This window comes from Homo sapiens, chromosome 17 (assembly GCF_000001405.40).
Source record: "Homo sapiens chromosome 17, GRCh38.p14 Primary Assembly".
NCBI lineage: Eukaryota > Metazoa > Chordata > Mammalia > Primates > Hominidae > Homo > Homo sapiens.
In genome coordinates, this window is record NC_000017.11 from 76,644,463 (window position 1) to 76,656,315 (window position 11,853).

An 11,853-nucleotide genomic window follows, 5' to 3' on the forward strand; every position below is an offset into this window, starting at 1 on the left:
CTCCCAAAGTGCTGGGATTACAGGCATCGGCCACCATGCCCAGCCATGATTGCATTTTTCTTTCTTTTTTTTTTTTGAGACATTCTCACTCGTTGCCAGCCTGGAGTGCAGTGGCGCAATCTTGGCTCACTGCAACCTCCGCCTCCCGGGCTCAAGTGATTCTCCTGCCTCAGCCTCCTGAGTAGCTGGGACTACAGGCACCCAACACCACACCCGGCTAATTTTTGTATTTTTAGTGGAGACGGGGTTTCACCATGCTGGCCAGGATGGTCTCGATCTTCTGACCTCATGATCCACCTGCCTCGGCCTCCCAAAGTGCTAGGATTACAGGTGTGAGCCACCGTGCCTGGCCGATTGCATTCGTATCCACTGCTTAGTAGCACCTACGAGAAATCATTAACTCTACCTTGATCAAAGCAATGCAAAACAAAACCCACATAATTCTTGGGAAAAAAAAGTACACCTCAGAGGAAAAACATCAAGACCATTTGTAGAAAACTTTAAAAATTCAGAGAAGCAGCCCTCCATAAAGTACTGTGAGTTAGTAATTTTATAAAAATATTGTCCAGGGTGTTGAACTGTGGGAGAGGTTTTGGAGCCTGGGCTCACTGTTCACACCTGGCGGTGGGCATTTCTCCTAACGTACAGTTTTCAGTTCTGTACACAAGGCTCTTGGCCTTCACCCATGGCACGCACCGATAAATGATTAAACCACCTTCCTCAAGGAGGACGAAAAAGGCAGGAACATACGTCTGAGCAGCTGAGGGTAATACAGACGACTGATGGTTTCCTTTATCCCCTACTGTACACTGCAACTCACAGCACTGTTTCAAGTCATGGTGGCAAGGAGAAACATCTCTGTTAGTACTGACTCAACCTCTCTCTTTCTCTCTCACCGTGCCTAACCTACAGATGCTCATATGTTAACTCTATAAACATTTTCTGAATTGATCTGTATCAAGTCATAACTCTTTGTCCTAACTGGCCCCTTATCCTGAGTTCCTTTATGCACTTGACATGTACAATTATATTCCTGTATCCTGGTGCCTGCTTGCAACGCTATGCAAATAAGTGCACAGTGAAAAGGCATGTTCTTACCCACAGTACTAGTGTGACTAAATAGAGTATCTCTTTCATCGTGCCCTGTGTTCTGAAGAAGGCACTGGCTGTCAGTGCTCGCTGCCTTCCGCAGGGCATGGAGATCCAGCTGAGCTCCTGGGTGCAAGCTGAGCTACTGTGGACAATCTGTCCCTCTCGCCACATTAGAGGCAGGTTGAACTTGAAGACCTTGTGGCCAACTGGTGTGGCAGGATAATCCAGAGTCCTAGTTTCCTGGTTCTCAGGTTCCAGCCCACTGCTGCTGTAGCATGTGCCTGGGCAGAATGTGGGATCCAGAGAAGTGTGTGTTTTAGGAGAAATTGACTTTCCAATTATTTTGTTTTTGCTTTTTGAGACAAGGCCTCTTTCTGTCATCCAGGCTGGAGTGCAGTGGTGCAATCATAGTTCACTGAAGCCTTGAATTCCTGAGCTCACAAGATCCTCCTGCGGCAGCCTCCCTCCAAAGTAGCTGGGATTACAGGTGGGTGCCACCACACCTGGCAAATTTTTTTTGTAGAGATGGGGGGGTCTTGCTATGTCGTGCAGTCTGGTCTTGATCTCCTGGTCTCAAGCGACCCCACTTCAGCCTCCCAAAGTGCTGGGAGCACTTCATGTGAGCCGCCACGCCCAGCTGCCAATTATTTTTTAAACATCGTCACAATTTTGTGTTTGGTAAGATCTACCTTTCTCTCCTTTTTATTGTTTTATTTTATTTTATTCTCTTAAGCTCAATGGCAAAAACTTTTTCTCCTTTTTAAACTAAAGCTTTGAGCTTGAGTCTTTGAACTTTAGTATACATCAGCTGATGGGACATGTGAGAACTTACATGCAGATAAGAGTTGTTAAAAGATAATTTTCAGTAAAAGGTAAAATCATTACTCAAATAGATAGAAGACATAAAAATGTGCTAAAGATTTGATTCTACTCATGAGAGGACCAGGCAGATATAATAACCAGTTCAAAAGAGAAGTGCATGAGCACAAAGTAATTTAGATTGTTTTTCATTTGCTTCTTTCAAGATTTTTCTCTATCTTTGGCTTTCAGTATTTTGACTATGATGTGTCTGTGTGGGTCTTCCTGCATTTATTCACTTGGAGTTTCTGGGATCTATGTATTAGTGTTTTTCAACAAATTTCAGAAGTTTTCAGGTATTATTTGTTTGAATATTTTTTTCTCTCTATCTCTGCCTCTTGAGCATTCTTTCCTAGGATGAGTATGTTGGTGTGCTTAACAGTATTCTACATTTCTCTGAGGCTCTGTTCATTTTTACTTATTATTTTTCGTAGTGTTCTTCATCTGTATTAATCTGTCTTCATGTTGGCTGATTCTTCCTTCTGCCAACTCAAATCTACTATTGAGCCCCTCTAGTGAATTTTTCATTTTGATTATTTATTTTTCAACTTCAGAATTTTCATTTACTTAATAATTTTGTTCTATCTTTTTAGTGAACATTCTCTATTTCATGAGTCATTATTATCATGCCTTTCTTTAATCTTCAATTCTTTAAACATGGTTTACATTAAAAACTTTTTTTTTTGGAGACAAGGTCTTGCTCTGTCACTCAGGCTGAAGTGCAGTGGCGTGATGATAGGTCACTGTAACCTTGAACTCCTGGCCTCACGTGATCCTTTCTCCCCAACCTCCCTAGTAGTTAAGACTACAGGCTAATTTATTTAAATATATATATATTTTGTAGAAACAGGTTTTCACTGTGTTGCCCAGGCTGGTCTTGAACTCCTGGCCTTAAGCAATCCTCCTGCCTAGAACTCCTGAAGCATTGAGATTATAGGCGTGAACCACTATGCCTGGTCTACTTCGATTTTTAAAACATATTCATAATAGCTGCTTTGGAGTCTTTTTCCAATGTGTCCAATATTTAGGTCCCTTCAAAAGCACTTTTTATTGCCTGACTTCTTTTCCTGTGTATTTGTCACAGTTTTTTTGCGTGTCATAATTTTTTGTTGAAAACCAGACATTTTAGATAATATATTGTAGCACCTCTAGATGCTGAATTCCCCACTACACTGGGGCTTGTTGGTGGAACTGTTGTTTCCTTGGGCATTTGTTTATTTAATTCTGAACTAATTCTATGAAGCCTATTTCCTGGTTTGTGTGCAGAGTGTATAATTTCTGATGTTTCTGCTGAGTTTCTTTCTTTTCTCCTTTTTTTTTTTTTTTTTTTTTTTGAGACAGAGTCGTGCTCTTTCACCAGGCTGCAGTGCACTGGCGCGATCTCGGCTCACTGTAACCTCTGCCTCCCAGGTTCAAGCGATTCTCCTGCCTCAGCCTCCCGAGTGGCTGGAACTACAGGCGCGTGCCACCATGCCCAGCTAATTTTTGTATTTTCAGTAGAGACAGGGTTTCACCATGTTGGCCAGGATGATCTCAATCTCCTGACCTCGTGATCCACCCACCTCGGCCTCCCAAAGTGCTGGGATTACAGGTGTGAGCCACCGCGCCCAGTCTTCTGCTGAGTTTCTTAACCACTGTGTCTGGTACACAGTTTCCACCCTACAAGTGGGGTCTGGGTTGGGGAAGGGAGCCCCAGCCCTCTTGGCCACACCTGCATGGAATACAGTTTTTGCAACGCAGAGCTGGAAGAGATGAGAGACACCAGTGACACACCCTTCTTAGAGTGAAACTGCAGCCTGGAGTGGAGGCAGAGGGAGCCCCCCATCTTCTTGGGAAGCGACACCTGCTTGGGAAGAAGATAGGAGTGGGATGTGACTCAGGTGCCACAGACTGTTTATTCTTACTGGTATTCAGGAGATTTTCTTGAATAAATATTTCTTCATTTGCTGTATGTCCTTAGGACAACATAATTTTATTTCAATTATTTAAATAATTTTCACCAATTAGGTCAGGTGCAGCGGCTTACACCTGTAATCCCAGCACTTTGGGAGGCTGAGGTGGGAGGATCACTTGAGCCCAGAAGTTTGAGACCAGCCTGGGCAACATGCTGAAACCCTGCCTCTACAAGAAGTACAAAAATTAGCTGGGCGTGGTGGTGCATACCTGTAGTCCCAGCTACTTGAGGGGCTGAGGTGGAAGGATCGCTTGAGCCTGGGAGATCAAATCTGCAGTGAGCTGAGATGGCACCACTGCACTCCAGCCTGGGTGACAGAGCCAGACCCTGTCTCAAACAAACAAACAAACAAACAAATAATTTTCACCAATTAAATGGCTGTTTTGTAGGGAGAGGTCTGCTGAGTTCCTCACATAGCCATCTCAGACAGGCCACGCATAACTCTTGTGGTGAACTGATATGAGCACAAAAGAAGGCCACGTGGCCTGTTGCTCCATGAAAGAGCCGTATCCACAAAGCAACCTCCAAATGCTGAAGGAGCCAACCAACCAGAGGAGGAGGCAGACAAATCCAGTTGGTCAGCATGGGATGATTTACTGGGTAAATTTACAGATAGAAAAGCATGGTCTTGGGGGGCTGCAGACATGTAGATCTCTGCAATGCAACACCTCAAATCTAGGGCTTCTATCTTGGGGAAAAGTATATGTGCTCTGGAAGGAATGTGTAGGTGGCTATGAGTATCACTACGCCTATGATGTCTGCAACAGCATCTCGGATTGTCTTGGAGGAAAAGTGAAAGTTAAAATGAATAGGTGTTCTACCTAAAGAGTAATACATCAGCTACACATTTGGAAGGTATTCTCGGACTCAGGGTCGGTCAGGCAGATTAGCGTTTAAAATAAAGTCGCTCTTGTCCCCGCGCATATGTTTCAGTATATAAAAGTTATATAGCGAATTTTAAGTCAAAGTTACTTAAATAAAACTGAAATTGTACATTTGATTTTGAAAATGTAATTAAATATTTTAAAAGCATACCTTGGAGATATTGTGGGTTTGATTCCAGACCACTGCAATTGCAGCAAAGTGAGTAACAGAAATTTTTTTATATATGTTTACACCGTAATGTTTTCTTCCTTCCTTCCTTCCCTCTCTCTCTCTTTCCTTCCTTCCCTTCCTTCCTTCTCTTCCATCCTTCCTCCCTCCCTCCCTCCCTCTCCTTCCTTCCTTCCTTCTTTCCTTCTTTCCTTCCTTCCTTCCTTCGACTGAGTTTAACTTCTGTTGCCCAGGCTGCAGTGCAGTGGCACAATCTCGGCTCACTACAACCTCTACCTCCTGGGTTCAAGCGATTCTCCTGCCAAAGCCTCCCAAGTAGCTGGGATTACAGGCGTCCATCACCACGCCCGGCTAATTTTTGTATTTTTAGTAGACACAGGGTTTCGCCATATTGGCCAGGCTTGTCTCGAACTCCTGACCTCAGGTGATCCACCCGCGTCGGCCTCCCAAAGTGCTGGGATTACAGGTGTGAGCCACCGCACCCGGCCTATAAAGTGTTTTAAAATTAACATATGTACATTGGTATTTTAGACATAATGCTATTGCACACAAAAGAAACATACACGTGTGAAACAATGTTGTCCAACAATAAACAGGAATTTTATTTTGCTGAGTCCTAAAATAAATGAAAACAAAGAATAAATAATATTACATAAACTTAGTTCATAAAGTGGCAGCAGGGTTTGAGAGGATTTACTTCAATGTTGAAAGAATTTCTAATGTGGATGGGCAAAATGGCATCAAACGTCACATTACAGAGGAAACTTTCAATCTATGCAGCAAGCTTTACTGTTGTCTTATTTTATTTTATTTTATTTTATTTTATTTTTTTGAGATGGAGTCTCATTCTGTCACCCAGGCTAGAGTGCAGTGGTGCGATCTCAGCTCACTGCCATCTCTGCCTCCTGGGTTCGAGCAATTCCCCTGCCTCAGCCTCCCGAGTAGCTGGGATTACAGGTGCACGCCAGCTCGCCTGGCTAATTTTTGTAAAATTAGAAAAAAAAAACACCACAAAAAAACAAAAACACAGCAACTTCATAGACAAAAAAGGAAAAAAAAAGAAACCTTTTCTCTTTAGCCTTTTTAACCATCTCATACAAACTAAGTACATACACAGAAAAGTTACTGGAATGCTCAGAATAAGATTGTTTTCCTGTTGTCTTTTTTTTTTTTTTTTAACAAGGTTTTTTTTTCTCCTTTGAGATTACAGTGAACATGGTCACACTACAAGTAAAGTCAGAAGTAGGACAGAGAATGCTCCAAAGGTTGGTTTGGTTATCTGAGATCATTAAAAATGGGTGGCCCTAGGCTGGGCATGATGGCTTACGACTGTAAACCCAGCTGCTTGGGAGGCTGAGGCAGGAGGATCGCTTGAACCTGGGAGGCAGAGGTTGCAGTGAGCTGAGACAGCGCCACTGCACTCCAGCCTGGGTGACACGAGAGAAACTTCGTCTCACAAAAAAAGAAAAAAAACAAAAAAAGGCTGACCCTAACAATATGTGCAAAAATATAAAATGTAAGTAAAAAACACAAATTTCCTTTTCAAGTATTTTTATGGAGGTGAATTCATACTAATAATCATAGTAATATTCCTACAATAAGATTAGTCTTTTTAAAAAAATTTTACTTTAAGTTCTGGGATACATGTGCAGAACATGCAGGTTTGTTACATAGGTATACATGTGCCATGGTGGTTTGCTGCACCTATCAACCTGTCATCTAGGTTTTAAGCCCTGCATGCATTAGGTATTTGTCCTAATGCTCTCCCTCCCCTTCCCCAACCCTCTGCCCCTGCCCCAAGAGGCCCAGGTGTGTGATGTTCCCCTCCTTGTGTCCATGTGTTCTCATTGTTCAACTCCCACTTATGAGTGAGAACATGCGGTGTTTGATTTTCTATTCCTGTGTTAATTTGCTGAGAATGATGACTTCCAGCTTCCTCCATGTCCCTGCAAAGGACATGAACTCATTCTTTTTTATGGTTGCATTTTCAGTACTTTGAAGAAAAAGAGCAGGGCCTTGGAAGTTTTGGTTCTTTTTTCCTCCCCTGTTGCAAATTCTCATGGTTTGAGTTGGGTGGTGGAGAGTGCGTGTCATCTGCGGGTGGTCTCTCTACCTGAAGGTGACTACGTTTGGATTCTGAGACAGGAAGTAGAGGGTGACTAGGTCACAGTCATTTTTTTTTTTTTTAGTTTAATTTTTCCTTTTTTGCTGTCTAGTTGTCCTCATCAATCTTCTGCTTCTTGGTATGGACATCATCATCCTTATCATCTTCAGCTACTCACTTGCCCATAGCAAACTCAGCTTCCTCGTCTTCATCTCCATCCTCTTCCTCACCATCACCTTCTTCCTCTTCTTCATCTACCTCATTGTCAACCTCCTGCTCCCAATTTTCCTCATTAGTGTTCCCATTAGCAGAGGCATCTCTTCCATTTCCGCCTCCTCCACAACTTCCTTCTTCTCCTTTAAGTCCTTGGTGGTGATCTCGGAGCTGGTGTCTATGGCTGCATCTGACATGATGGGGCATGCCGGTGATCTGATACAGGGGATTAAAAAGGAATCGAGAATTCGAGGACTCTGGTGATAAAGCTGCTGGAGTCCACGGAGGAGGAACCAAGGAGCCAGACGAGGAACAATGCAAAGATGGCTTTTCAGAGCAGCCAGTGGGGGCTGTTTTCATTTCAACAGTGTTCAGAGGAGTAGATTCCATCTCAAGAAACCCTCTTGGTGCATGCATAAGAAGCAACTTCTAATCTGTAGAAGTTTGATCATGAGATTGCAGCAACTCAGCCACATCTTCAGGCTCCACCTCTAATTCTGCTTCTCTTGCTGTTTACACCACATCTGTGGTGACTTCTTCTACTGAAGTCTTAAGTCCCTCAAAGTCATCCACCAAGGTTGGAACCAACTTCTTCCAAACTCCTGTTATGTTGATATTTTGACCTCTGCCCATGAATCATGAATGTTCTTCAGGGACTCTAAAATGATGAATCCTTTCCAGAAGGTTTTCAACTTACTTTGCCTAGATCCATCAGAGAAATCACTATCTATGGCAGCTATATCCTTATAAAATATATTGCTTGAATAATAAGACTTGAAAGTTAATATTACTCCTTATTCCATGGGCTGCAGAATAAACGTTGCGTTGACAGGCATGAAAACATTAATCTCCTTGTATATCTTCATCAGAACTCTTGGGTGACCAGGTGCATTGTCAATGAGCAGTAATATTTTCAAAAGAGTCTTTTCTTCTTAGCAGTAGATCTCAACAGTGGGCTTAAAATATTCAGTAAATATGGCTGGTTGTGGTGACTCATGCCTGTAATCCCAGCACTTTGGGAGGCTGAGGTGGGCGGATCACGAGGTCAGGTGATCACGACAATCCTGGCTAACACCGTGAAACCCATCTCTACTAAAAATACAAAAAATTAGCTGGGCATGGTGGCATGCACCTGTAATCCCAGCTACCCAGGAGACTGAGGCAGGAGAGTCACTTGAATCTGGGAGGCGGAGGTTGCAGTGAGCCAAGATCGCGCCACTGCACTCCAGCCTGGGCAACAGAGTGAGACTCCATCTCAAAAAAAAAAAAAAAAGGAAATGTTTGGTGGCCAGGTGCAGTGGCTCATGCCTGTAATCCTAACACTTTGGGAGACCAAGGCAGATCACTTGAGGTCAGGAGTTCGAGACCAGCCTGGCCAACATGGTGAAACCCCCGTCTTTACTAAAAATATAAAAATTAGTCGGGCATGGTGGCATGCACCTGTAGTTCCATTTACTGGGGAGGCTGAGGCCGAAGAATCCCTTGAACCCAGGAGGTGGAGGTTGCAGCGAGCTGAGATCACGTCACTGCACTCCAGCCTGGGCGATAGAGCGAGACTCTGTCAAAAAAAAAAAAAAAAAGAAAGGAAGAAAGAAAGAAAAAAAGGAAAAAGAAAGAAAAAGTTTGAAATATCGCAAGAATTACCAAAATGTGACACAGACATGAAGTGAGCACTTGCTGTTGGAAACATGAGGCTGATAGACTTACTTGATGGAGGGTTGCTATAGACCTTCAGTTTGTAAAATTGCACTATCTATCTGCAAAATACAGTAAAGTGAAATGCAATAAAACAAGGTATGCCTGTAAAAGCATTTTTATAAAAAACGAACTGTCCACAATTTTAGTGTTCAATGTCCATCTAGTTGCCAACATAAAGAAATGGCATCACATTTCACGTGTTATGTCTAGATCCAATTTATCCAAACCTAGGAGCAATATGAGGTTTTTACTATTGCAAAATTTAGTTTAATTTAATTTTTTAAATTTTTGTAGAGACAGAGTCTCAGTATGTTTCCCGAGCTTGTCTGGAGCTCCTGGGCTCAAACAGTCCTCATGCCTTGGCGTCCCAAAGTGCTGGGATTACGAGTGTGAGCTACCACGCATAGCCGCAAAATATTCTTTAGAACTGTGACAAATATTGCACTGATTTGGGAGTACCTCCAGAATCAGGAACTGGACAATCAATACAAGTGGGAAAATGTGGCCGGTCATGGTAGCTCACGCCTGTAATTCCAGCACTTTGGGAGGCCGAGGTGGGCAGATCACCTGAGGTCAGGAGTTCAAGACCAGCCTGGCCAACATGGTGAAACCCCATCTCTACTAAAAATACAAAATTAGCTGGACGTGGTGGCGCAGGCCTGTAATCCCATCTACTTGGGAGGCTGAGGCAGGAGAATTGCTTAAACCCAGGAGGCGGAGGTTGCGGTGAGCCGAGATTGCGCCATTGCACTCCAGCCTGGGCAACAAGAGCAAAACTCTGTCTCAAAAAAAAAAAAAAAAAGTAGCCGGGCATGGTAGCAGGCACCTGTAATCTCAGCAACTTGGGAGGCTGAGGCAGGAGAATTGCTTGAAACCGGGTGGCAGAGGTTGCAGTGAGCTGAGATCGTGCCATCGCACTCCAGCCTGGGCAACAGAGCGAGACTCTGTCTCAAAAAAAAAAAAAAAAGAGTAGGGAAATGTGTTTTGTTATGCAAAAATCAATTGTATTTCTGCTCTCTGAAAGTAGGAATTGACAAGCTAATTAATTAGTCCTTTTTGTTACCAAGCACCTCTGCTGCTCAAATTCTTCCTGTATCTTGAGTCACTGCTTGCCTCTGAAGAACCCACAAATCTAGATAGCATCCAGACACTGTCATCTTTGATTTTGAAGACACAGGGCAAGTGATGTGGAGAAGCCTTTCTCTGGGGCCTGAACAGTGTGAGTCAGAAATGCCAGTGTTGAAGGCTCTAGATTGTGCTGCATTATCACTGTTCACCAGATCCAAGCAACATAAATGCCTGTTGTTCTTTTTTTATTTTTTATTTTTTTGAGACGGAGTCTTGCTCTTTCATCCAGGCTGGAGTGCAGTGGCGCGATCTCGGCTCACTGTAAGCTCCGCCTCTCGGGTTCACGCCATCCTCCTGCCTCAGCCTCCCGAGTAGCTGGGACTACAGGCATCCGCCACCACACCCAGCTAATTTTTTGTATTTTTAGTAGAGACGGGGTTTCACCGTGTTAGCCAGGATGGTCTCGATCTCCTGACCTCGTGACCTGCCCGCCTCGGCCTCCCAAAGTGCTGGGATTACAGGCGTGAGCCGCCGCGCCCGGCCCAACAGCTGTTCTTTCAGGCAGCTGAAAAAATCAGATAGGCCCTAATAGACTTGTTTGACAACATTTCTTTGGTCTCTGAATACAACTGCCATATTTCTTGTTCTCCTAAGGCTCTAATAATGACCAAAGAACCCTAGTTCATTTTCTTTTTTTTTTTTTTGAGACGGAGTCTTGCTCTGTCACCCAGGCTGGAGTGCAGTGGCATGATCTCAGCTCACTGCAACCTCCACCTCCTGGGTTCAAGCGATTCTTCTGCCTCAGCCTCCCAAGGAGCTGGGACTACAGGCACATGCCACTATGCCTGACTAATTTTTGTATTTTTGGTAGAGACGGGGTTTCACTATATTAGCAAGGCTGGTCTTGAACTCCTGACCTCAGGTGATCCGCCCACCTCAGCTTCCCAAAGTGCTGGGATTACAGGCATGAGCCACGACGCCTGGCCTCATTTTCTTTTTTTTGAGACAGAAGTCTCGCTCTGTTGCCCAGGCTGGAGTGCAGTGGTGCCATCTTGGCTCACTGCAACCTCTGCCTCTTGAGTTCAAGCAATTCTCATGTCTTAGCCTCCCAAATACCTGGGATTACAGGCATGCACCACCACGCCCAGCCAATTTTTGTATTTTTAGTAGAGAAGAGGTTTCACCATATTGGCCAGGCTGGTCTCGAACTCCTGACCTCAGGTGATCCACCCAGCTTGGCCTCCCAAAGAGCTGGGATTACAGGCATGAGCCACCATGCCCGGGCCCTAGTTCATTCTCTAAGATTATAGCCAACCATTTCCTGGGACATGGGAAGTCCTTCCACCTTCCCATGTACTCTCCTTTTGGAGGAATGAGTTTGATAGCAAGGGAGGCCTACACCACAGCCCAGTATTGTGGTAACAGGTGCAATCTAAAAGAAATGTGACACAAACTCAAAGGTTTTGCCTGTGAATTAATTCAGTTCACATTTCCTAAGAGTTTACTATATACTGACTCCTGGGGTAAGTACTGTAAACTGTCGTGTCAATGAGTGACAGAAAACACACGGGGCCAATAGAGAGACACAGAGGAGGGGCACTTGGCCAGCTCAAGTACTGGAAGGTTCCCTATCCAGTGTTCCCTACCTGACCAGTGAGGCTCACGGAGTAACACAGGGCATCAGCACACAAAAGGCAGAGGATGAGATTCTAGCAGGAAAACGCTACCCTGGCCACCAGTCCCCAGAAAGGAAGGGTTGAAAATTAATGGCCACATTGCACTTAGTCAGGCTGCAATATTAATAACCTGTGCT

At 44.1% G+C, this 11,853-nt stretch overlaps 1 pseudogene; it reads right to left on the reverse strand.

Moving 5' to 3' along the window:
• Positions 6,947 to 7,623, reverse strand: PTMAP13 (prothymosin alpha pseudogene 13; annotated as a pseudogene).